This window comes from Homo sapiens, chromosome 5, assembly GCF_000001405.40.
Source record: "Homo sapiens chromosome 5, GRCh38.p14 Primary Assembly".
NCBI classification, from domain to species: domain Eukaryota; kingdom Metazoa; phylum Chordata; class Mammalia; order Primates; family Hominidae; genus Homo; species Homo sapiens.
Window position 1 is genome coordinate 113,093,402 of NC_000005.10, and position 27,391 is coordinate 113,120,792.

Genomic DNA, 27,391 nt, shown 5'->3' on the forward strand with positions numbered 1-27,391 from the left:
TAGCCACTGCATTCCAGCCTGGGCAACATAGCCAGATCCCATATCTATCTTATCTATCTATCTGTTGATCTCTCTCTCTCTCTCTCTCTCAATCAATCCAAAAGAAAGTAAATGATGCAAGCCAGGAGCATAAGGGATTAGGCAGAGTGGGAAAGTGAGATGTTGGGGGGATTTGGCCCTAGAGCTGTCAAACACAAAGAGTGTGCACAGAAGCAGGTTTCCAAAGTGGTAGGAAATTCCTTGGAAACGTGAGGCTAGGCAAGTATGAGACAGGTCAGCTATGCGGATGCTTCAATCTCTGAGTACAATTGTGGGAGCACAGACAAGAGTCAGCTGATGAAGTCATCTGTGAATGTGGCTCACAGATGAGTGACAAGCAGGAAGGCAAGGTGGCACCAGAGTCCTGAGCAGGATCAGAAACATTTTTATTAGCCATAAAAGAAAGAGCCTGTTCTGCTGATGATACGTAGCAGTACTCACTGGGTAGTTGTAATTTCAGGCAATTAGGCTGTAATTCATAATTTCACTGTGTAATGGAGCTGGTTGAGATGAGATGATTCCCACACTATAGAATGGTGAGAATCACTAGGCTGGGAAAGTTCTACTTAATGAGCTTCATGCAGTTAGTCCCTGTGTAGTTTTTGGAAAGCTGCTATCTCGAAGTCCAGGGTTTGTAGATATTTTGCCGAGAACCACACCTCTTATTGGAGATTTTATATGATTTTTCTTAGAGCCCTCAAATAATCAGAATCTATTTACAGCAAATATTTATTTCTTTCTATAAATCAAATTTACATGGTGTTTCAGGATAGTGGTATTTTATTGTTAATGGCAATTTTGACTAGATGGAAACAGAAGAGAGAGATCACAAAATAGAAGGAGAAAACATCCAACAGCATTTCCATCTCTCGGTAAGTTTGATATGTGTGCTATTTTCTCTTTTGTTTTATAGCCCACTAAAGTACCTGGATGTGTTATAAAAATGGTTGCATTGGAAAAGGCCAGCATTTTGGCAATCTTCCTTTTTTTTTTTTTTTTGAGACAGAATCTCACACGTTGCCTAGGCTGGTGTGCAGTGGCGCGATCACGGCTTGCTGCAACCTCTGCCTCCCGGGTTCAAGCGATTTTCCTGCCTCAGCCTCCCAAGCAGCTAGAATTACAGGCGCCCACCACCACGCCTGGCTAATTTTTTGTATTTTTAGTAGAGACGGGGTTTCACTATGTTGGCCAGGCTGGTCTCGAACTCCTGACCTTGTGACCCACCCGCCTCAGCCTCCCAAAGTGCTGGGATTACAGGCATGAGCCACCGCTCCCGGCCAATGTTCCTAATTTCTTACCAGCTTTTTGACAAATTGAGTCAGCTTCTTTCATGACAGCCAAGAGCTAGCCTTGAAGCAGCCTGGCCTCCTCATAGGCACATGAGGCTGGGGTGAGTAAGCAAATACTGGTGCCCACAGCAGGAGTTGCCTCACAATCTCCGTGGCTCAAGTGTGTGTAAGGCCCTCATGAAGTAACTGGGAGCTGTGTCCATGGAAGAGGTCAAAGAACCAGGGTTCTGGGGATTCTCTGCCTTGGATTCCCCCTAAAACTCCCTCAGTCTACAGAGAGGAGGGGAACACAACACTGGACTCAGGTCAAGGTAAAAGCATGCATACCACCAGCTTCCTATTTTCTGCAACAAGCTCAGTGTGCCTTCATGTAGCATTAGAATGCCAGGAGAGTGGGTCTGTGAAACCCTAAGGAATCTGGCCCCCATGTTGCTGTAACAGAGGACATTTTACCCACTGTTGGTCTGCATGGGAGTGGGGCTAGGATGAGGACAAGGGTGGACAGAAGGCTACAGGAAAGTGGTCTAAACAAGAGAACAATGACAACTGCCTCCCCTAATAAGGCCACCAGATCCCAAATTTTGGTACCAAGAGTTAACATCAACGTAGACTTGGGCAAGATTGTTAAAGCTTTTGTAGGCCTCTGTTTTCCCATCTCTAAAAAGGGTATAATAATAGTACCTATCAGCTAGGATTCTGGAGCAGATTAAACAAAATGTGCATAAATCATCACCCATCACAAATAAGTGTTTGAAATATGTTCTGGGCTATTATCATAATTTAGGTTTTCAAAATTATTTATTTTTAGAGACAGGGCCTTGCTATTATTACCCAGGTTGGAGTACAATGGTGTGATCACAGCTCACTGCAGACTTGATCACCTGGGCTCAAGCCATTTTCCCACCTCAGCCCCCGAGTAGCTGGGACTATGGGTGCACACCATCACACTTGGCTAATTAAAAAAAAAAAAATTTTTTTTTTGGTAGAACAGAGGTCTTGCTATGTTACCCAGGCTGGTGATTTAGGCTTTGAGTAAGTCCCGCTTTGCCTTTAGAGGTATCTGATTTTAATCTGGGGGGTGTCTAGTCTGAGAGGAGTTCAGTCTGCAAATATTCACAGAATGTCAATACTATCAATATTATTAACAGAGCCTTTCTTAAAAATAAGCCCTACTGAGCTTGCACTGGTAAGTGGCTCCCTGTGGAAGTGATTTCCTTCATGGGGTGAGCTGGGGGACTTGGCACTGGGCCAGGCAGTGCCTCCATGCCTTGGGAGCCCCGGGGTGCCTGTACCCTGGTGGACTCCACCCTCCCTCCACTTCTAGCTCAGATGACCCTGGTGAAGGGACAGTGCAGGGCAGGCTCCACATAGCAGGCAGCTTCCCTAGCAGATGCCGGGCTTATCACTGCTACATGGTGGGCCCAGGAGGAGCAGGCTGGGCATGAGGAGAAGGCAGAAAGCCTGTAGCTCTTTCTCTCAGTTCACCTGCAGAGGGGAAGTAGAGGACACTTGGAGAAGCTCTTGGCCCATGTCCAGTGGGTGACCAAAGGACACTGCCTCTCCCTTCCTTGTCTCCAAGTGCTGACCACAATCATAATGTGGGGGAGTGTGCCAGGGTGCTACACCCCATTTACTGACTCTGGCTCATGGAAAGGCCTGGGCACACATCCTCTCAAAGAGCTTCCCAGTGATTCTGACACACACGTGTGGGGTCACCACAAGATGGATGAGTGAAACTGCCTGTTTCTCTGCAACTCTGATTCACGGCCAAGCCCGGCTGGTATCATAGTCAAAGCATGTAAATCAGCTGCATCAGAAACTTGTACTGTTGAATATCCACATGTTCCTAAGCCCCTTTATGGTTAGGTAAAGCCATCTGCCTAGTTCTGGTCAACAGGCAGGGCGCAGAAGCATTTAAATGCTGTGGTGGGAGCCTTTGAGTGGGCTCTTAGGTGGTGGATGGCCAACAGTCTGAGTTTCTGAGTGAATGTATGGATCAGAGACGTGCACCTGTCCCCTAACCTGCACTGAATATATGGTGCAGGCAAGAAACAACGTGCCATGCCACTGAGATTTGGGGAGTGAACCTGTTATTGCAGAAAAATCTAGCCTCATACTGACTAATATACCAGCCATACAAAAGAAGAGCCACCTGAGCCTCCCATGTGGAAGGAGCACACTGAAGCCAGACCTGGCTCCTCTCAGCTCCCTCCCATGCAGCTAGATGACAGCTGGGGAGAGCTGAGAGGAGCGGTGTTGAGACAGGACTTGGTTTTACAGAACTTTTATGAATTTAAACTCAGCTAATATTGGCATCCTCTTCCTTATCCTGAAAAGAAATTCCCATGAAGAAATGGAACAAATAAGAAATGAACAAAGTTCCATAAAGGACAAAAAAGAAGACTCAGCTTATATGTGAATATCAAACCATTAAAAGCTGTGAGATACAGATCATTCTCCATAATCCATACTTTTTTGTTTTTGCTTAATTTGAAAATTAAAGAGGACAAAGAAGAAAAAAAGCAATCGCATACTTCCACTGCCCAGATTTAACCTGTTAATATTTTAGCATATCAGTGTTCTATTTCTATGTATATACTTCTGCATATTAAAAATTATACAATGATATGAATACATTCATTAAAAACATAAATTAGAACATTATAGAGAAGTTTAAGGTCCCTTTGAGGCCAATACAACATATTACCATTATGATGTTGGTTTATATTTTTCTGGTCTATTTTCAATATTTTTATATACATACATATGAATATCTATGAAATGGAAATTTATACAGCTATAAATTCATAATAAATATAAAGTACTATTTTGCAGTCTGCATTTTCTCTATATAGCCCTGTCTCAAGAAAAGCAACACCAAGGGGAGGTAGAGTGGGACCAGCTCAGACGGGACTATGGCCAAATGAGGCTAAAAGAGATGTGAGGGAAAACATAGATGTCTCTTTATTTAACCTCTGTAAGATCACAACACTTACACTTCCAGGCTGGTCTCAAACTCCTGGGCTCAAGCAATCCTCCTGCCTCGGCCTCCCAGAGTGCTAGAAGTATAAACGTGAGCCACCGCACCTGGCCGAGGGTGACTTTTATTTGGTTCAAAATAGCATGTCTACTTGTCTCTTGAATTTACTGTGGCAATGAAACCAGAAGCCAGACCCCCAGGATGAGAGAGGCCCAGGAGAGACAGATGGAACTCATTCCAAGACATGCAGAAAATACCCAGGTAGAGCACAGTGTGTAAAGAAGAAATTGTTAACACCTTATGACATGAACATGCAGAAGAATTCTGTAAATCTGAAGAATTTCTAGAAAATCTCAGAAGGAACTTATGTGGCCGATTTGTGTTCAAGTCTATGGTTCAGCGGGACACAGTTTCATGTGCCTGTGGTCATATCAAGTTTGCTTTGCCAAACACATTGGGGAAAGCGCTGATTATTTTTGCCACATCATGGCTGACTTAAACAATGTAGCTAAAAAAATGGGAACAATGTGGAGAAAGTGGTTCCTGCCATCACACGACTCTCTGGGGAGCTCTCAGGGCACTCTCTGTGTTTACCTGTCCCCACCACTTGACATAAACCTTGCAATGATCTGTTTACTTGCCTGTCTCTCCAACATCCTTGAAGCCAGGGACTGTGTCCTGTTCATCACTGTAACCCCTCTGTCTGGCACAGAGATGACCAATCACGTTTGTGAAATGAATGAATGAAGAATAAAGTAATTCCTTTACAGAGTAATTCTCCCTTGCCTACATTAAGCCCAATTCTTTATGTGTGAGGAAATACATGGTTATATCACAGAGCAAACAGAAATAAATGATTGCCTCATTCAGTAATGAACTAGGACCAATAATAAAATTGCCTGTTGCTCCTTAGGTACTGCTCTGCCACTAGCCCAATTTGTTAACTGACTACATTAAAGATCTAATTTAATTAAATCTTGAACAAAGCTCAGAAGACCTACAGAGAGCACTTTGCTTAATTACAGGCACGGTTCAAGCACCAATCCTATTGATCTGGTCGGTTAAAATTCTATACAATGAATGTGGGCAAAGAAAAAAAGAAAAAGAAAGTGGCCCCAATTGCTCGTCAAGGAACTTTGATGAACTATGGATTCAGAGCTGCTACAAAGACAGCAAAGGCAAACCAGCCTTGTACTCTGTACTGTCACAGGGTAAAAATAAAATGGTACCTCAGTCACTCTGCAGAGCTACACATCGTCAAGAACAGAAGACAATGACAACCACGAAGGACAGATCCCTCCTGAGGGAAATAAAGCACACTAGGTGGGTGGGTGAGTGACGGCTGGAAGAAGACTTTTGGCACTTAAAGTCTAGTAAACAGGCATTCAAATGCATCTAGTACACTTTTTGAGATCTACACTCATCTTGAAATAAAAAGCAATAAATCCAATTCATGGTATGTATATAAATTCCTGAGAATATCTCTAGTTGAGGAAGAGATAAAAGTTAACATTATTTGAAGGTAACTGAAATAAAAATTATACAAAACTATACTAGTTGCACAAACTTATAAAAGGTAACAGATGTGACTGGAAGAAAGGCTTTGACTAAAATGTGTCTATGTGTGCAGGCCTGTATGTGTGTGTGTGTAATTATCCAATGTCCATGTTGGAGTTCTTCAAACATCTAAGGATTCCTATTTAAAAAAATGACAGGATGGTGTTCAACTTTCCGTATCACTCGACAGGTAACTATATATTTTACTCCAAAGAACTACTACTAATTTTTTGAGCATTTACTACGTGCCAGACATCGCCTAACCACTTTACGAGTATTATCTAATTTTTGCTTTGGGTGCTATTATTGTCCCACTTCGTGGCAGAGTAAACTGAGGCACAGAGAGGTTAGGCAACCTGCCAAAGACTCGTGGTGACTTGGCAGGTCAGGCTGTGCATGACCCAGGCAATCTGGCTCCAGAGCCCTGGTACCTAGTGTAGTGCCTCCGCACTGTGCTATTCTTAATACTGACCTCCAGAGTTGGAGAAAACACTGGAAAGTGGGGAAGGGGACTTTTTATTTTTTGCTAGTCCACCATGAAGGGCTGGCAAGTGAGAGAAGAAAATTCATTCTAAACCACAATATGTAATTACACCAAAGACCAACAATTTCCCTCACAAAACATGCACCATCAGAATGCACACACTAAGAGCAAGTACATACCTAATTAGGACATCAGTGATAATCATCGGGGAGTGTAACCCAGGAAATTACAGGTGGCGTGGGCTTTAGTGCTAAGCAAATTTCATCATGCTGCCCAGATAAAGCCTTTGCTGACTGGGATGATTTACACCTGCTGATGCAACTATGGAGACTGTCATCCGATATAGCTGCATACTGAAAATATGCTTATGCACGTGAGTTAAGACAAAATGATGTTCAGATATGAGAGGTAGTAGTGCCAGCCTTTTAATTATGACATTAGCACAAATGAAGAAGAGTTGATAACATTCAAAAATAGTAATTTCTTCCATATTTTTCAAATGAGGAAGAGTTGATAACATTCAAAAATAGTAATTTCTTCCGTTTTATATAATGGCAACTAAGAATACTTACAAATGGATTAAAAACAAAATGATGTACACATCCTGAGCTCGTTGAAGCATAGAAGAGCAAGTTATTTACAAGGTCTTTTTTATGGCTAAGGGAGCAAGAGCAATGGTGAAGGATGATGAGACCCACTAGATGTATTTTTCCCTTTTTTTTTTTTTTTTTTTTTTTTGGACATGGAGTCTCCTTCTGTCGCCCAGGCTGGAGTGCAGTGGTGCGATCTTGGCCCACTGCAACCCCCGCCTCCCGGGTTCAAGCGATTCTCCTGCCTCAGCCTCTCAAGTAGCTGGGACTACAGGCACACAGCACCATGTCTGGCTAATTTTTGTACTTCTAGTGGAGACGGGGGTTTCATCATATTGGCCAGGCTGGTCTTGAACTCCTGACCTTGTGATCTGCCTGCCTCGGCCTCCCAAAGTGCTCGGATTACAGGCGTGAGCCACTGTGCCTGGCCAGTATTTTTCCCCTTCTAAGTCAACTTTATCTGTGTACAAAATTAGCAGTCAGAGCACAACTAGAAAACAAGCTTCTAATATTGCCAAGACCAAGAAAGAGAGTCAAGTAAGTCTAGTAATTCAAAGTGAAGTTCTGAGGGAAGTGTTTGATTGAGGAATTCATTGCTTCACCCCCAGTCCAATCACAGATCAAACTCACAGCCAAACACAGAAGTGCTTGTGGGTTCCTGGGATTAAAAACTTCACCTTGGAAAAACTGAGGCTTTAACAATTCTGCCGAACATTTCTATCCTGAAACATTAGCTCCTTCAGTAATGGATACATGTCCTAAACAAAATGATACTCAAACTAGGTCAGGCCCTAGGGTGAATAGCAGGAGTCACACATACACATCTGTAAACACAGAGACACACACATAACATGCACACTTAAACAGATGCACATACACACATACATATATGCACACAATGTACAAGATATGGCTATTTTAACTTCAGTAAGTCTGCACCAGGAGAGACGACATTCTATACTAGATTCAGTATAAGCAAATGAGAGCAGGTACAATAAAGCTAAATAAAATTTTATAGAAAAAAATTAAAAAGGTAAAATTCCATTTTTTTTTTTCAAATTCTAAAGACTATTAGTTTATCCTAAAGAACATTTTAATTGAGCTTAGAAAAGATGTGCTTACCCTGGAAAGTTTAGAATCACTGCCCCGATGTAATTTTATCAACCAGTCAGATTTAAGATTCCAGAGAAAAGTGTTTGCTTTTTTTTTTTAAATCTTACCTCTATACCTTAGCAATTTCGAACTACTTTCAAGAAGGACTTCATAACAGGAAAGAGACAGTGATTCCCAAAATTACAAATGCCACAAAATTCTCACGGTGCCCCTGGTGCTATACACCAGCCTCTCTCAGCCCCATGCCCAGGAAGGGCCTGACCATTATGGATGCAGCATGCTCACCCTCCTCCGGAGCCGGTCCCGCTCTTCCCGGATGGCATTCATGGTGGCCTTAGTCCGGTTCAGTTCTTCCTCTTTGCTGCACAGCATGGCAGTCAGGCTCTCATTCTCTTCCCTCAGCCCAGCCAGCTCCTTCTCCCACCGAGACCTCTCTTCAGCCAGGTTGGGATACAGGTCCCGGCCAAGCACCCCCTCAATCTCCTCGACTGTCTGTAAAACACAGCCCCAAAGAAAAGTCAAGTAAGTTACCTTGGAGAAAGGGGATAGGAAGAAAATAGGCTGAACAGGAATAAATGTCCATAGAGGAGTGTGTTCTAGAACCACTTTGTTATAAATAGTGATCATGACTACAGACACCCCAAAGTTATCCTGTCTCCAATTTCAGATGAGGCTCTGTCACTTGCCTGGGGTACAGTCTGTGTTACCTGGCAACCTTCAGAGTAAGAAAAACAGTGAGTCCTCTCCTGGCAGCTGAGTCTGTCTGTGGTGCTAGCTGACACATCCACACAATGCTTATTTCCTTCACTTGAGTTCCAGAGTTGGTGGATACACACAACCAGGCAGAAGGCCATTTAGTGATCCTGGTAATGTGAGGACAAACATGAGGTTGTAAACTGCATACAAAATCTAACTTGAAGTTTCCTAAATTATAGGCCTCCCACATGCCAACTCAGCGATAAGATAGGTCACATTACCATTTCCAGCTTTTAGTGCCACATCCAAATTCAGATGGTGCAAATGAGGTTCAGTCTCAAGATGTGAAAGACAAAAATAAACCTCATTGACACAGAAAAGAGGAAGCTCATTGTGGAGATTTCTAAGACAGCAGGGATTAAATTAATAATACAGCTTCAAAATTTAAAGGAAAATCTTAGTAGCACATAGTTTTAAAAAATTCATTTAAAAACATTTAATGAAGAAGAAACATGCATATTAGGGAAAAAAGGAAGAAGTCATTCTGCTTACTCTTATAAACTGTTCATTCACATTTACTGTCCTTTGAAAAAGGAAGCACAAGCCAGTGGATAATGAAACAAGAGGGAGAATTACTATGAAGAGGTAGAAGGCAGTGAAGAGATGGAATAAGAAACAGAAGACTGGCCGGGTGCAGTGGCTCACGCCTGTAATCCCAGCACTTGGGAGGCCCAGGCGGGTGGATCACCTGAGGTCAGGAGTTCAAGACCAGCCTGACCTCAGGTGAAACCCTGTCTCTACTAAAAATACAAAATTTAGCCGGGCGTGGTGGCGCCCGCCTGTAATCCCAGCTACTTGGGAGGCTGAGGCAGGAGAATCGCTTGAATCTGGGAGGTGGAGGTTGCAGTGAGCTGAGATCATGCCACTGCACTCCAGCCTGGGCGACAGAGCAAGACTCCGTCTAAAAAAAAATAATAAAAATAATAAAAAGAATAAAGAAAAGAAAAGAAACAGAACGCCTCCAATACTAAAAAACATAAGGGTACATCACTCTTGGATGCTCATGTTGGTTCTCAAATCTTGCTGCCACTTTTCCCATGTGCTGCTTTGTCCTTCCTTTAAATCTGGAGACTCTCATCCTACTTGGCTCTGCTCCAGACCCTGTGGCTTTGTCCCTAGCTGGTTGGTAGAGGCCCTTGGCCTCCTCCTTCCCTCTCAACTCCGAGGTTGGGGCTAGACCCAAGTTGACATTACAATCAAATATAGGGCCCAGGAGATTCCAGAGAAAGAAACACCAGCAATTGCTTCTCCCTGCCCTGAACTACATCAACTACATATTTGCAATTGAGATGAAGAAAGATGGAAAACCAGCAGTGTTACAAACATGCATCGTGGTTTACCTTGTGACACCACAGTTCTTTTGTGCAATCCAGGATTCCTACTTATAGAAACTTGGGCCTGCATTTTCTCTTTATGGGCTCCTCCTAGACTTTTAAATTTGAATTGCTATGCCCAGGTCACTAAGTTACGTTGAAGGAATATAAAGATACCAGAGGCCTAGTATCAGTAAGCCTTGACTTTCCCATCATTCACAATGAGTTTGTGCAGATGCAACAAATTCCTGTCACCATCTCAAACAGCAAGAGGAATTGATGAATGGACTCCTGAAATCGTATTCTAGAGGCCTTAGAGCTTTAACAAAACTTCCAAGCTAAACTTACAGCTTACGAGTGGCTCTATGATGAACCACTCTAAAATGACGTGGTTCAATACTAGCAGTCGAATGGTTTCCAAGTAAATTGTCCTTTTTACCGCAAAGCCAGTGAACCTGACTGCTGACATCATGACTTTTTCTGAAATAAATCAGCCCAACCAAAATTTCTAGAGCCCCCGCTTCTACACCGTGGCTCAATCTATTGTATGGCTCTCATGGAAACATTCATCCCTAGTAAGTATTTAAGAAAACTGCACTTCAAGAGAAGGATTGGACCATTTCCCTTTCAGAACCTCAAAGGGCCTCACAGAGGGTGAGGAAGGTCTACCTTAATAGCCAGGTCACAGTGCTCGCTGGCTGTGGTGAGCTGCTCAATGTGCTTGTCCACCTCGGCCACGGAGAGGCTGCAGCTGCTCTTCTTCCTGCCGCAGACAACATTCTCCAGCCCTGTCAGCACCCTCTGCAGTTCTGAGTTCAGGTCACTGCAGTTGTCTGTGAGTGAATGAAGACAAAATGCGTTACACAGGGCAACAAATGCTGTCTGTTTTGCTTACCATGAGGGACTCATTCAGGTAATGGGATGGCAATGGAGCCTGACATTTCAAAGTTCAACACCAGCCAGCCTAACCTCACAGGCACTGCCTCTGAGACTTGGAGCCAATGCAAAGCTCTTTTTATTAAAGAGTTTCAGATGATGGTCATTTTCTGAATTCTCTTGTCTTTCACTCAAAGCAGCCACATCTTGAGTTTCTTTAGTAAGAACAAAGAAATGCCCAGAAGAGGCTGTTGGCACTTCCAGAGCCTCTGGTCAACCTGTCTGCTGTCATTCAGACAAGCACTAACTGCAGAAAGATCCCATAACTTTACTAAATGTAACAAAAAGTCTCAGAATGAGCAGAGATGCTAGGTATTTTGAAAAACAGAAACTGTGTAAGAGATAGTCCTTGCCCTCAATGAGCCTAAAACCAAGAACTTTTCCATGATAGAACCAATCAATATGCTCCACTGTTGCAATTTAATCCATGTTCTTTCATCAGGGGGAAAAATAAACTGTTCTAACAAATTCCTTATTGTTCTCCACATAAGGCAACCAATTCTAATAATTTGATTTTGACTTAAAAACTTGGGTTGCTTTGAACCGCTGGACATCCAGGGCCTGGTCAGAGAAATAAAAAATAATTATAATGTGATTCAGATATATCTTAGAAGACAATTTTGTTGGGAAGAAAACTCCCCTTAAAGTCAAATACAAATTTTGTAACCTGCTGTTTTGGATTCTGTCTATCGCCATGCCATTCAATTATTGTTGCAGGGCAGATGCTGACTGATTATATGTAATCTTTCAGAGTACATTCTTCACCTACGTCCAGCCTAACCCTGCATGAAAATTGCTCAGTGTCTTCCATTTTCTTCTTCTCTCCTGCATGCTTCTCACCACAGGTTCCATGTACTAAAATGGTTAACTGCTTTTGGGACTTACCTTTGGAAGACTTCAAGAAAACTCTTGGCACAACAGGAACAGGACTTCTCAGAATGTTTTAGTCAACCTCATCTGGTTGCCTCTATTTGTAAATTACCTAAATCTAGAGAGATCAGCCTAAGGCTTTCACTCCAACCAATACACACAACTAGTCTACCTACTTCTCAAACCTGTTCCTCCCCGATCTCTCCCATCTCCATGAATGGCACCCCTATCCACCCAGTTACTCAGGTGAGCTCTGAGGCAACCTTCTATGCCTTTGTCTGACATACTAAATCCAATTCATCTTGTGACCACAACCTCCAAAACTTATCCTCAAACTGACCTCTTATTACCATCTCTACTGACACCATCCTGCTCTAAACCATCATCATCTCTCAACTGGACCACTGTAACAATCTCCTGCCTCTACTCTCCACGCGGTCACCAAAGTGGGCCTCCTAAAAGCGCAAATCAGAACAAGTTATTTTCCTAGTTCAAACTGTCTAATGGCTTCCCATCAACATTCATATAAAGTCCCAACTCCTTACCAGAGCCTGTAAAACTCTGCATGATCAAGACTGATGTGCTCAGTTCAGGCTGCACCATGTCCCTGGGGAGCTTTTATAAACTACGGATGCCCAGGCCCCACCCCAGACCAATTAAATCACAATCTCTGGGGGTTGGGCTTGCACAATGGCAACTTTAGGTTCCTCAGGTAATTCTAACGTGCAGTCAGAGTGAGAACCACTGATCTGATCTTGCCTCACCCATCCACCTTCCCCTGTTCACTATGCCCCATTCACACTCCTTCCCCTCATTCACTATGCCCCATTCACACTCCTTCCCCTCATTCACTATGCCCCATTCACACTCCTTCCCCTCATTCACTATGCCCCATTCACACTCCTTCCCCTCATTCACTATGCCCCATTCACACTCCTTCCCCTCATTCACTATGCCCCATTCACACTCCTTCCCCTCATTCACTATGCCCCATTCACACTCCTTCCCCTCATTCACTATGCCCCATTCACACTCCTTCCCCTCATTCACTATGCCCCATTCACACTCCTTCCCCTCATTCACTATGCTCCATTCACACTCCTGGCCTTCTTTTTTCCCCCTGGAATATGCCAAACTCCTGTCTGCTCCACAGGTTCCTTTCCTTTGCTGTTTCCTTTGTCTAGGCTGATTTTTTAAAATTTTAATTAAAAAAAAAATACAACCTTTTTAGAGACAGGGTCTTGCTCTGTTGCATAGGCTGGAGTACAATCCTGTGGAGTACAGGCAGGGGTACAATCCTAGCTCACTAAAGCTTTAAACTCTTGGGTTCAACCTATCGTCCCACCTCAGCCTCCCAAGATGCTGGGACTACAGGTACACATGACCACAATCAGCTCATATTTTTATTTTTGTGTAGACACAGGGTCTATGTTGCCTGTCTCAAACTTTTGGCCATAAGCAATCCTCCTGCCACAGGCTTCCAAAGTCCTGAGATAATTGACATGAGCCACCATGCCTGGCCAACCAAATTTCTACATATTGTTCAGCTCTCAGCTCAAATGCTATCTCCCCAACAAGCTCTTCCCTATCTAAAGCATGGAGTTTCACCTCCTCCCTTACCCATTCCCTATCTTCTTATCCTATTTTTTTCATGGCAATTATCACTATCTGATCTGACTTACATGTTTGTTTTCTCTCCTCTACTAAACGTAAGTTCCAGGAAAGAAGGGACTTTGATCTTCCTCATCATTTGTATCTCCAACAGAGAATAGGGTAGGCGGTCAAATATTATTTTTTAAATAGGCAAAGAGAAACACCACATCATCATTTATTTAATAGACAGGAAGGCTATAAACAGACTCAATAGTAGCATGTTTTTCTTTTTTTTTTTTCTTTTTTTTTTTTTTGAGATGGAGTCTCGCTCTGTCTCCCAGGCTGGAGTGCAGTGGTGCAGTCTCAGCTCACTGCAACCTCCACCTCCCGGGTTCAAGTGATTCTCCTATCTCAGCCTCCCGAGTAGCTTGGATTACAGGCGTGTGCCACCACACCTAGCTAATTTTTATATTTTTAGTGGAGACGGGGTTTCACCATGTTGGCCAGGCTAGTCTCGAACTCCTGACCTCAGTGCTTTTGTTCCTTGTTGTGGACCTCGACCTGAGCTGCTAAGAACTAGGATGCTCATCACTGCAGAGGCCCTTTGGAGATGGAGGCAGGTGGACACCAACTGGAGGCAAAGGACCCAAGTGAGGAGAAGAACAACTCAGAGACCACACCAACCAGCCTCTGAATGACCACGTACCCTCTGGTGCAGGTCTCCTGGTATCCAGAGCTGGTGTGAATCCGCTGTCCTGAGTTATGTGCATTAAGTGCTCATGAGTGAGATATTCATGAAATATTCAGACATTCTGTGCTGACTTCCCTAGCGCAGGTCCACCTGATGCAATAATGACAATGGACATGTCTGCTGAGGGGCTCTCACAGCAGAGCCGGAGTGGTGGCAACAGGCTGCTTCCTGAGGGTGCTGGGTTACAGGGAGCAGGAAGAGGGGCTAGGCATGTGACTAGTATTTCCTTCTCATACTTAAATTGGGCAGTTGCCGAGCCCTGACTCAGGCCAGAGCAGAGTGCAAAGATGAATAAGAGACTGACCTTAACTGTGAGAGACCCCCAGAAGTACAAGGCCACTGCCCCACCTCTCTGCTGCCCACCACTACTGTAAGGAAAGTAACCATAGAGGCCAGGCGCAGTGGCTCACTCCTGTAATCACAGCACTTTGGGAGGCCGAGGTGGGTGGATCACCTGAGATCAGGAGTTCAAGACTGGCCTGGCCAATATTGTGAAACCCTGTCTCTACTAAAAATATAAAAATTAGCCAGGTGTGGTGGCGCACACCTGTAATGGAGGCTGAGGCAGGAGAATCACTTGAACCCAGGAGGTGGAGGTTGCAATGAGCTGAGATTGCACTCCAGTCTAGGCAACAGAGCAAGACGCAACACTCTATCTTAAAAAAAAAAAAAAAAAAAAAAAAAAAAAAGAAAGGAAAGTGGCCAGGTGTGGTGGCTCATGCCTATAATCCCAGCACTTTGGGAGGCTGAGGCGGGCAGATCACGAGGTCAGGAGTTTGAGACCAGCCTGACCAACATAGTGAAACCCTGTCTCTACTAAAAATACAAACATTAGCAGGGCATAGTGGTGCGGGCCTGTAATCCCAGCTACTCAGGAGGCTGAGGCAGGAGAATCGCTTGAATCCGGCAGGTGGAGGTTGCAGGGAGCTGAGATCGAGCCATTGCACTCCAGCCTGGGCAAGAGAGCGAGACTCCATTTCAAAAAAAAAAAAAAAAAAGGGAAGTAACCATAGATAACACAGTGCAGACACAAGGCAGAGAGCTGGCAAGATGTGAGGTCATTTACACTGATGCACAGACTCTGAAGAATATCTACCCTTCAAACCAATGAGGGCTACACATACTTTCTTTGGTCATAGGAAGCTGAATGTATAAAAACACAGGTGAGGTGATGAACCCCACAAACTCCAGTTTGTGCTGCAGAACTCTGCACTGTGGCTTCACACAGGCCCATCAGTGACCAGTTGGCACTTGACTGTCCATTGCTATTTTTCCCTGTTTGGAGCCTCACAGGAGGACGAGGAGACTGGGCCGCCTGGAGCAGGTATTCTGTGTCCCCTCTCAAGGTACTACGTCAAGGTACCAAGCACTTATCACCACTCACCGCCAGCATCCACATGGCTCCAGACAGAACTGTCTTTCAGAGTCTGTGGCATAAGGTGCCACAGTAGGTCCTAAGTATAGGAGTAGAGTTGCTGGATCATATGGTAATTCTATGTTTAACAAAAACAATGAAAAGCAGTGACTCAAATAATTGTACCCCGATGTTCATAGCAGCATTATTCACAGTAGCCAAAAGGTGGAAGTAGCCCAGGGGTATACTGACAGATGAAGGAACAAAATGTGGTCTCTGAATACAATGTAATGTTATTCAGCCTTAAAAAAGAAATAAAATTCTTTTACATGCTACAACATGAACCCTGAAAACATTATACTAATTAGAATAAATCAGACACAACATGACAAATATTTCCACTAATACAAGGTATCTAGAAGACGCAAATGCAGAGACAGGAGATAAAGTTTACCGGGGTGGGGGTGATGCGAGAATAGGGAGTTATTGCTTAACGGGTACAGAGTTTATGTTGGCATGAAAATGTCCTGGAAATGGGTGGTGGTGATGGTCACACTAACTCTGTGAATGCCACTGAACTGTACACTTAGAAATGATTACCATGGTAAATTTCATGTTTGTTACCACAATAAATATAATAAATGTATATCAGTGAGTAAAATGAGGAGATATAAGCAAATAGGCTGATATGAAACAGAAAACGGTAACCTTCAAGAATGGCAGCACATTCAGAAAGGATTTGAAGTATTGTAATTTAATTAAAAAAAATTTTCCCCTGTGGGTTGGAGAGCAAGAGAAGGAAGAAAGAGATATGGGAAGTCTAAGGACAAGGGGGAGTAATGTACTCTTTAGAAAAACCCTGGCCCCCACTGCCATGCAACTCCATGAAGGGCAGCTGAGGCAGGCCCACTGGCTTTCTCCCTCAGCCTCTGCTGTACTTTATTTTTTTATTTTAAAAATCTTTTTTTTTTCTCCAGAGACAGGATCTCATTACATTGCCCAGGCTAGGAACGAACTCCTGGGCTCAATCAATCCGCCCACCTCAGCTCCCCAAGTAGCTGGGGTTACAGGCGTGAGCTACCTGTGCTGTGCTTTATGCATCAAAGGAAACTGTTCTACATCCAGGAGACAGAGAGGAGGCCTTTGGTAGCAAATACACATTCCTTTAAGTTTATCTGTACTGTGCCCCTTTCTAAAGAAGAATTTGAGGTTGCTTATCACAAGCAGCCACAAATAAGGGGAAAACACGGTGACTGGATCAGGGAAAGGCTGGGAGCAAACGGAGGCTGACACAGCAGAGGGCTGACTCCTCCAGCTAGCCTTGAGCATCCTGGCATCCTCAGCAAATATGAATTATCTCCTGACAGAAAGGAGGAAGCATTCCGGTTTCACAAGGGAGACAAGGTGTTTTTGGCAACAGACGCTAGAAGGATTTAGGTACACGGTACTTCATACGTGGTGTGAAGTGATGTGATGCCAGTCTCCTCAGCCAGTTTCACACATATGTGGATTTCATATGGTTTCTTCTTATGTTAACCTTCAGTTAAAATTAAAGTTGTAGACCATTTAAAGCACAAGGTAAAGGGAACTCTGGGGAGTGCTAAGTTCACGTAATCTTGGCACTCAGTCTTCAAAGCTGTCTGATAAGACTGAACAGGACCCAGAAGACTGGATGGAATGGACCTCTCCCTTTGGCCAGCAGATGCAAACCAGCCACCTGCAGCCAAAGATGTGCTTGCATATGGGATAGGGCTATGGTGTCTGGCATGGCCTTTTTTTTATTTTTAAAACAGTTTTTGAGTTAACTGTCAACATTTTAAAAATTGTTAAAATTTATGGCTATCCTTGTAAAATGAGAAGATCTGGCAATGCGGGGCCCAGCTTCTCAACCACAGCCATGTGCAGAGGGGCCAGCCGCAGACCCCAGGACTCAGCACGCCCAACCCACAGTGCTCCTCTGCTCTGCCCGCCTCCACCCAAGTCCATGGCTCCTCCTGCCCTTTTCCTCTTTTCTAAATGCAATTTTCCTCAGTTGGCCTCCTGATAAGAGCTCAATAATACACAGCTCAGGTTATATTTTTCTAAGGAGAACCAGAGCCTTAGGTTTTTATGTTGCTGTTTGGGGAAAGATCCACATATGGCAGGTCCTCAAATAACATTTTGTTCAACATCGTCTCATTATAACATAGACGAGGAGGGAAACAGGTATTCCCAGCTGGGGCCACTGTCTGTGTGGAGTTTGTACATTGTCCCCTCCCCATGGCTGTGTGGTTTATCTTTGGGTATTCCAGTTTCCCCTACACCCCAAAGCTCAGCACGTTAGGTTCATTGGTGTATCTAAACAGTCCCAGTCAGAGAGAGACAGAGACAGAGACAATGAATGTGTGTGCCCTGCGATGGGATGGCACCTGGCCGGGGTGGGTTCCCATCCAGCACCCTGAGCTCCTGGGATAGGCCTCAGCTACCTGCGACACTGACCTGGAATAAGGGGTTAAATAATTATCTCCCTTATTTTTATTAATCTGCCTTAAATGTACATATAGTTCAAGTTTATTCCCACATTTAATATTAGAAGTGCTTTGGGTCTCTATTTAGAAATTCACTAACGTTTCAGTGACCACAAATACACTACAGGAACTTAACTCTTCATTATATCAATTAACCATAAAACTGGTATCGTTACACGTCATTTCATTTAAAGTTGCATTTTCCAGGAACCTATCAACGACGTTGAGGACTTACTATACTTTGGAAATCTGGAAAGGAGGTAAGAGGACATTCATGGCTGTGAAAACTAAGAATCCTAATGAGCCTTCTGGCTTAGTTAAACACACACCAGTGGACAAAGCTGGTTTTCTTCTTTCTTACTCAGGATCAGCTATGCCTATGCCCAGAGCTGACACCATTAACTACGGCAGAGTTGGTTCATTTTGAATCAGGTGTTAAAAGTTGCTTTTTTAAACAAACAAGCCCTGTAAAAATCCTAACTCAAATAAAGGGCAGCTCCAACAGGTGAGATGTTACAAACATCTCCCCTGGTCCACCTGATTCCAACCAAGCAGTCCCCTCTTTACCAGAATGACTTTGCTCCAAAGTATGGTCCCAGCTTCCAAAAGCACGTGTTCCTGGGGATCGGTACTTGCTTCACACTAGTGGTTAGGTATTTGCCTAGTTTGGAAGCCTTCCATGCTGGGTCTTTATTAAGCTTTGCCTTTGATAGGGCTTGGGTTTGTGTCCCTACCCAAAAACCATCCTGAATTGTAATCGCCAATGTTGGAGGAGGGGCTTGTTGGGAGGTGACTGGATCATGGGGGCAGACTTCTCCCATGTTGTTCTCATGATAGTGAGTTCTCATGAGACCTGGTTGTTTAAAAGTGTGTAGCACCTCCCCTTTCTCTCTTTTTCCTCCTTCTCTGGCCATGTAAGATGTGCTTGCTTCCCCTTCACCTTCTGCCGTAATTGTAAGTTTCCTGAGGCCTCCCCAGTCATGCTTCCGGTACAGCCTGTGGAACTGTGAATCAATTAAACCTCTTTTTTAAATAAATTACCCAATCTCAGGTAGTTCTTTATAGCAGTGTGAAAACGGACTAATACAGCCTTGAAATCTCATTTTCCAGGAAGCCTTCCCAGCCCTTTGGCACTCAGCCCTAAAAGTTGATGATTTCATTCATTCAACAGTGTGTTTCCAGAGACTCACAGTGCTGGGCATGTCCCAGAGACTTACAGTGCTGGGCATGGAACATGTGCTCTACAAACACTGGATGAGATTAACATGTAAAATAAATGGAAGACTTTTTATAAGCCAACTTTTTAAAGTCCCAAGTTTTTGTTAATTTACTTGTTAATCCAGTGTCAAATTTAAAACCTATCAAATGACATTATCACAGCCTGCTAATAGGGCAGAAAGCTTTCAATTAAGATTCCCAAGGTAGAAAGCTGTCAGTGAAGTTAGAGACATAAGTCACAGAGAATTTTAGCCAGGCTAAGAAACAGAAGCAGCTGTAGGCCTGCTACGATGTGGGCTATAGCAGGACTGGCCATTCACCATATCCCTGCCACCTTCTGAGGGCCAGCGCACACCACCCACCCTTCTTTTCTGACTGGGCACACACCATGCCTGGTAAAGCAATTCAAAGTGGGAGAAAGACCTACAGATTCTTTCAGCCTCAACACAGACTTTCTGTAAAGGCAAGATGTTATATCCCAGGGATGTAATAGTTCAGATCTCGTTGTAGCTCTACGGCTGAAACCAGGAGGGCTGTTGCTTTCTTTTGAGCATTCCTCTGTACTCTGCATACAGCAAGGCCCTCTTTAATTCCATCGAGGAACAAACACAAACCGAACAAAGTAACATAGAAAATTAGAAAACAGAATAGTCAACTTTTAGGGTTGAACACCAAAGAGAAGACTGAAGGGTCTGGGAGGAAGGGAGAAAGAGTATCCACAGAGGTTACCCCTTGCTTTGTGTCCCATGTTGCCTCTGTCTACCTAAGACAAGAGGACTTATGAGAACAATGTTGTGGTAGTTTAAAAACTCCTCAGTATCACCTATAATGGACAAACTGACATTAGGAACCTCCCGCTGCAACATGGTAATGAGGACCATAACCCACATATGTTCTTGCAAAAAAAAAAAAAAAAAAAGCTAACCTCAAGTCTTGTAAGAAAACAATCAGATCATCAGATTGAGGGACATTCTATGATACCACTAACCTGATAACACTAACCTGACGTCCTCAAAATGGCAATGTCACAAGAGACAAAACAGCAGGAGGGAGGATCTGTTCTAGATTAAAGGAGAGTCAAAAGACATGAAAACTAAATATAATGTGTGAGCCTTGACTGGATCTGGGACTAAACAAAAGCAACCAAAGACATTAATAGGACAATTGGGGAAATTTGAATATGGATTGTGGACTGTCAATGCTTCATCAGTGGTAAAATTCTCAGGTGTGATGAAGGTACTGTGTTTATTATAGGAGAAGGTTCCTTCTTAAAAGGTTTACACATATGCCTTTAGGGGGTGAAGCATCATGGCATCTGCAACTTTTAAATGGCTTAGAAAAAAACGTATACACAAACACAAATGGGAGCAAGAGAGAGAAAAAAATCAAAATGTGGCGAAATGTTAACAATTGGTTGATTAAGATGAGTGGTTTATGGAGGTTTGTTTTACCTTTTCTGTAAGTTTGAAGATTTTTAAAATAAAAAGTTGAGAAAACACATACTTCAACATTCTAGGCAAGAAGGTCTCACAAGGTCTGGATATGCTGCAGTGGAGATTTAACACGGAGAGCGCAAGATGACTGATTCTCAGTGCAGCCACCAGAACTGGAGAGCTCTCCTGTAAGTGTGTCTTCCACATCCAAATGATCACCAAGTACACAGGCACAAGTTGACAGGGACAGGAGGCAGAGAAATTCTAGGCAGAAAAGGGCAAGGTCCCTGGCGAAGCCCCACCCTGAAGCCTATAACCATGGCCCAAAGTGAGAACATGCAACCTTTTTTCCCCACTGAAATGCTGCCTTTTCAAAAATCACCCATGGCCTACCCCGCCCCCCATCCTATACCCATAAAAACTCTGACCCCACTGGCAGAGAGCAGAGAAGGGAAGAAGAGGAGAAGCAGCTGGATGTCAGAAACTGTGGTTTGATGTCAGAGAGCAGCAGCTTGACTTCAGAGCGATGGCTTGACACCGTTGCTTCGGAGAGGAGTCTGGCTGGGGACAGCCAGAATCCAGGGGAAGATTACCTTCCCGTTCCATCCCCCTTCTAGCTCCCCTTCCTGCTGAGAGCCACTTTTATTGGCAATAAAATCCTCTGTATTCACCACCCTTCAATTCTTCATACGACCTGATTTTTCCTGGATGCCAAACAAGAGTTTGGGTGCCATGGGCGCAGATGCTAAAGGGTGCCACACTGACCCTCTGCCTTCAGTGGTGGAGAGCAACTGCCTCACATGAAAAGGCAGAGGGCCCACTGAGCTGCTTAACACTTAAGCTGTCCACGAACAGCAAAGCAAAAAGAGCACTGTAACACATGCCCTCTGGGGCTTTGGGGGTCACAGATCCTCCCCCCTGAGACGCTACTGTGGGGCCATCACGGAGTTTTGCTCCTGCTGGTGCTCAAAAGCACTTGTTCCGGCCCCTGCACACACTCACCTGTGTGCTCCTCCTCCCTTGAGGGGTTGAGAGCTGCAGCCTGAGTAAGCGAGGCACCCCTGTCACGAGGCCTGAGAAGGGGTCAAGAAAAATTTCCTATTTCAAAGTCAGGGTGGGTGACCTGAGAAGCGAAAGACGCCACCCCACCACATTCTGACTATAGATCTCTGTTTCTTTTCTCAAAGCAATCGAGGCTGCATTTTCAGGACTTCTATTTTAGTAAAATCTTACCAGCTGGGGATTTGTTTTCATTTTCACTGTTGTCACTTTAGATTTCTGACACAATTTGTTTCTGTGAAACAACAAACTTGGTCATAAATATGAAGGGATAAGGAAGATAACCTAACATCAACTCCAGGGAGCTGTCCTCCAGGACTGCGAGCCTCTACTGACCTTGGTGCCCATCTAGGATCCCCTGCTCTGCTCTGTTACGCACCCCCACATAACTCCTAGTCATCCACCTCCAGCCTCGGTGGCAGAAAAGTTCCGTCAGTGGTTTCTGCCAGAACTTTTCTGCCAGAAAAGTTCTGTTTCACACATATGTGAAAAGAAGTTCAAATCTACGTATAATCATTTTACTTATTTGACTATTGATCACCTGAATTGGCACAGCTTTAAAATAAGAATGATACCCAGTTTTGAAGAGGATGAGAGGAAATCTTTGGGGTAGAGAAGGGACAGCAACTGACAATATACAAGAAAAGACTTAATCATTCAATACCTTTGAGAAGTAATCTTGAAGAAATAGTTACAAGTATGTTTAGAGGATAAATTCCAACCCCTTCACTGTGCCTCCATGGCTCTCTGTCATCACTGACCACAGCCCAGCTCTCAGGCCTCACTTCTGCCCACTCTCCCCCAGGCTCACTAACCTCCAGTCCAAATGGCCCTTTCTTAGTGCCTGGGTCACCTGCGGCAGCTCCAGATCCCCTTTAGATAGGCTGTCTCCTGCCCTTGACAGCAAACAGTGGATCCTCCATTAGCACTCATCCCAGGCCCTGTGACCCTCATGCTAACAGGAGTGAGAGGATTTCCACGCCACCAGGAGGAGGGGGAAGATGTGGTTCTGGCATCCATATGTGATCTGCAAAATATTTTCTCATAGCAGCAATGTTCACAATGATGGCTGGGGATGCGGTAACAACACTAGCAAGGTCCCGAAGTTATTTCCATGACAGATTACACAGGCTTTCCAAGGCTGGTTTCAGGAGCTAACACTCCTTTATTATAATGCTGGTTTTAAGAAAAATTATGTCATGAATTTCAAATAACCAAAACCAAATCAACCTTAAAAGACATGGTCTATTTAGAAAATAAAGACTGTTTATGCTATTAATAGAAGAGAAGTTCATGAATCCCAAGAATTGTGGGAGCTCATTTTGAGTAAATGCTGTAGATTAATGCCTTTCCATTTCCATCTTATACCCCAAGTCTCTTTTGGGGACTGAAAAGTTATGGAACAGCAGAATTTGGGGAAAATATTCCAAAGTAACACAAACTGAAGTAGAACAATAACCTTTCCTGCTCTCAACCCTGGTTACTCTAAGGAAGATTCTGGAATGACTTCAGGGGGTTCTCCTCAGTCACTTAGCTCTGCTACCATTTGCAGACAGGTCTTATTTGACCAGGCTCAGATCCCTAGGAGAAAACACACAGTCACCCCAGAGAGTGCTCCAGTGAATCAATGTTCAAACTGTTAACTGGTTCTCAGGGATGATCCCTATTGTGACCCTCTCCAGAGAAATTAAGTTGCCCACATAAAGAAAAGAAAAAGGTAACAAAGGGCTTGGCCTGTTACATGAACTAGTTAGAGTACAACTTTCAGTCCGGTCTAACCCTTTCAGTCTGTGGACTAGAGGATCACTGACTATCTAGCCACCTCATTCCTAGCAAAAAGTGAGTATTCTCCAGACAGCTTGCCTTACCTGTGTAAACACATTTCTCCAGGTCTGCAAAAACTGTTTTTGGCAGAGGCAGGGCTGCCTTTCCCTGCCCCGACCCTCTCTCCTCACTCTGAGTGGCTGCTTGACACTTGTAAACATTTTTTCCTGAAGCCATTAAGCCTCATCAGCCAGTAAGCCAGGAGAATCTGGCTTTAGCATCAAACATATTTCACAGTCACAACCGCACCAAAAAACCAGGTTTCATGTGGAAATTCTTCCTTGGTTGTCCTCCAAAACCTATTCACACAGAGGAAAAATCTAAGTGATCACACCAGAAAGCAAGGTATTCTATGCATAGGACACCTTGCGGGTATAAGAGTAGATTTCAACCCTAAGGGTATAAACCTCAACCCTCAGGGTATAATGGTTTGATATTTCAACCTTGAGGGTATAATAGTTTGATATTGCTAAATTCCAGAAAAATAAAAATTTCTCACCCAAAATCAGAAGAGATCTCAAAATAACAGAATGCTTCACTGGCTGTGCAAAGGCCCATACCATCAGGGATTTTGTTTGTTTTGGAAACAGTTGCTCCAGAAAAGCACTGCTGTTGCGTTAACAGAGGTGGGGAAAATGGTCCACAGGAAAGGACAGCAAACATGCTGTAACATGCAGGATGCAATGAGTCTGTGTGCACACATCTGTGCTCTGCTCTATTGCAATACCCAGAATCATTGGGTCCAAGAGTGTTGTTTCTATTTTAATATGAAGGGCCGCAAAATCTGATTGCAAATGCTTCACTATTAAGCCAGGTGCTTGTGATCACACAGCTGCTCCCTAATTCCCCCATCAGCCCTAGAGACCTCAAAGGACTGCAGTAAGCAAATGACATCAACCACTGGCATGTCTTCCTGTTTAAACCGAGGAGTATCAAAGGAAAGCCATCTATAGAAACACAGGCGGCAACAACAAAAACAACTTCTTGGCTGTGTGGCCTTGGACAAGTGACTTACCCTCTCCAAACTTCATTATCCTGATTTTACAGATGAAGAGACCTCCAGGGCATCCTTCCAGGTTGGGGATTAAACATGAGGGATGCATGTAAATGCTTGACACAGGGTAAGTGAGCAAAGCATGTTAGTTGGTATACCCACCCTCTCTTTTAACGGCGAGCCTTTGCCAGATGGAGGACATAAAAATTCTAAGCAATAACTCCTACCTTGGCTTTGTCCACTTAATTACCTTTATTTTCTGAACAATGTGTGACGAGGTTTGATAAGAGGTAATTTTTTTAAAAAAAACATGCAGTGTGACAGAGGCTGGCACCTTTCTCCTTTATTTGACTGCTTAGTAAGTCAAAGCACTTTTTAATTGGATCGTTTATTCCTCCAGGCTTGGAAGACAGTGTCCAGGAACCAGCCTACTGAAGGGGCAGCTGGACTCTGATGGGTGGTTATGAAAACAAAAGAAAAGTGCTTTTTGATGAAGCTGATAGGCTGGACTTAGTCCTGTTATCTTTGGAGATCGGCAAATACACTGCAGCAAATTCTGCAGCTCAAGAAAACCTCTGGGTTGCTAATGCAGGTTTGCAAATATAGCAACTATAATGAAATGGCTACTTTTAAATGATTTCCTATAATGGTGCTTACATATGGAAGCTTTTTTCCTGTTGAAAAAATTTAATTGGAAAATGGCGAAGGAATAAGAAGAGGGAGACAGCCAGTTCCGATGAACAAACACACTGACGGCACTGTGTGAGCAGCTTTAATGAACTCCTCCTTGTTGTGCCCAAGTGTTTGTCCTCCTGGGGGATCTGGCAGAGCTGCCCCTGCCCGGTGCACCCTCCTCCTCATGGGCTCCGACCCCACTCAGTTCCCAGATTCCTGCTCGGCTGTGACCTCTGGCAAGCATTCTTCCATGCTCCTCCCCGAGGTTATCACCAGGGCCACTGCAGGCCTGCTATGGAGTCCTAACTGCACTGTGAGGTCTTCCCTGTGGACCTGTCTGCATCCTCCAAACAACTGTGAGCTTTGGGATGGGGTTCTTTCACTGCTGCTCAAGTATTTGAGTATCTCCTACGTGCAGGAACTGCTATGCTGGTAAATTAGGCAGGTGAAGTCCCTGCCCGCGTGGAGCCTGCACTCTGGCATGACAGCCAGATAAAGCTTGATAACACACAAGGAAATGAGCACAAACACAATCCATCCTCAGGGAGTGCTCCATGTTATGAAAGAAAATGAAGCAGGGAAAGGGAAGCAAGTGGCTGCCTGAGAGTGAGGGATGAGGCATGACTCTAGAGGGGAGGGCGGGGGGCCTTGGTGGAGACAGCTGCCGAGGAAGGAGGGCTCCAGGCGGAAGGAACAGCCAGCACAGAGCCCCGGGCAGGAGAAGCAGCTCAGGCTGGAGGAACAGCAAGCCAGGAGGCCAGAGTGGCTGCAGCTGGAAGAAAAACAGGACAAATGGCCAAGGAGGCGGCCAGAAGCAGGGACCGCCCTGTTGGCTGCGTGCTGAGGAAGCTAGAAGTCACTCTAGGCTTGAAGGATTTGAGGGTGGGAGCACAATGACCTGACAGCAGATTCTGTCTTTCATCCCCAGTACCTAGCACAGCCCCAAGTGAGTTTGCTGACTAAATGAAAAAAAAAAAGCTTCTATGTGTGGGCAGAGAACATGTGTCAACACTGGGCAGGGAAGGTCACTCCCCTCCAGGAACTCAGTCTTCTCAGGAAAGAGGCTACCACCAGTTATAATTAACCCATGTATTTTTAAATGAGGGACGGAATGAAAAGAATGGTTTGGGAAAATGAGGATGCCCCATGGCGCAGATAGGTGGACACTGCCTTCTGTGTGAGGACCAGTGCAACAGACGCCACCTCAAGTCAGGAGGTCCAAGAAGCCCCACAGGAAAGACATCCATGTAAATGTGTTTATCCTTGCACTTCCCAAACTTATTTAATTATGGAACTTTGTTGGAGTACAGGTCATTTATTAATTCCATAAAATACAATTTGAGAGAAGTGAATGGCGGGATCAGTATAGGGCTCACATTCTACAATGATAAGCAATTTCTAGGCTGTTTAAATCTGTCTGGCTAAGGCAGAAGACAGAGTCCTGAAGCTTGGGGCTGCCAGGGTTAGAGATTTATGATGCCCTTATGAACTTAGCATGTTGGTATGAACTTAGCATGCTGGTATGAACTTGGCATATGCATGGTCTGGTTGCAGGGAGTTGTGTGTATTGTAACATAAAGCCCGGGGACTGGGTTCAGTTTAGTTGGGGGAAGTGTCTTCACTCCTCAACATAATTCTGCCTGGCTTAAGCTGTACCAACATACAGCTCTCAATGGCTTTGATGTATTTTATTTGGCCTTAGATGCAATCCAGACTACTGATCGCTCCTTCCTTATTAGAGCCTCCTCTGCCCCACTGGCTTCCAGAATACCACTCTCCTCATTTTATTCCTTCATCTTTGGCTGGCTGACTGGTGGATTGGTTTATTACCTCATTCATTCATTCCCACTACTATCTTTAAACACATGTTATGTGCCAGGCCCTGTGATAATCTCTGAAGATATACTAGGAGATGAAACAAACATGCTTCCGCCTAGTGGAATTTAGTGGGAGAATCAGTCAAGCAAATAAATACTATTACATAATTTAAAATGTCAACGTGATAGTAAGATACAAATGGGGCAATGACAGAGTCAACAGTTATCATCTGCAAACA

General features: G+C 44.1%; 1 protein-coding gene across 2 annotated transcripts in view, besides 1 other annotated feature; it reads right to left on the reverse strand.

Annotated features, from left to right (window-relative positions):
- Nucleotides 1-27,391, reverse strand: part of MCC (MCC regulator of Wnt signaling pathway) — a 466,348-nt gene that overhangs the window by 71,296 nt on the left and 367,661 nt on the right. For both annotated transcript variants that reach the window (NM_001085377.2, NM_002387.3), the window contains 2 exons: nucleotides 10,791-10,954; nucleotides 8,338-8,544 (listed from right to left, as the gene is read on the reverse strand). In NM_001085377.2, the coding sequence (NP_001078846.2) occupies nucleotides 8,338-8,544; nucleotides 10,791-10,954 (371 nt within the window). The remainder of the gene's footprint in view (nucleotides 1-8,337; nucleotides 8,545-10,790; nucleotides 10,955-27,391) is intronic.
- Nucleotides 25,596-26,103: an enhancer, noted in NCBI's record as "H3K4me1 hESC enhancer chr5:112454694-112455201 (GRCh37/hg19 assembly coordinates)". NCBI's record gives its function as "activates a minimal SCP1, AML or CMV promoter by ChIP-STARR-seq in primed H9 embryonic stem cells {active_cell/tissue: H9 hESC(primed)}" and the evidence as "EXISTENCE:reporter gene assay evidence [ECO:0000049][PMID:30033119]".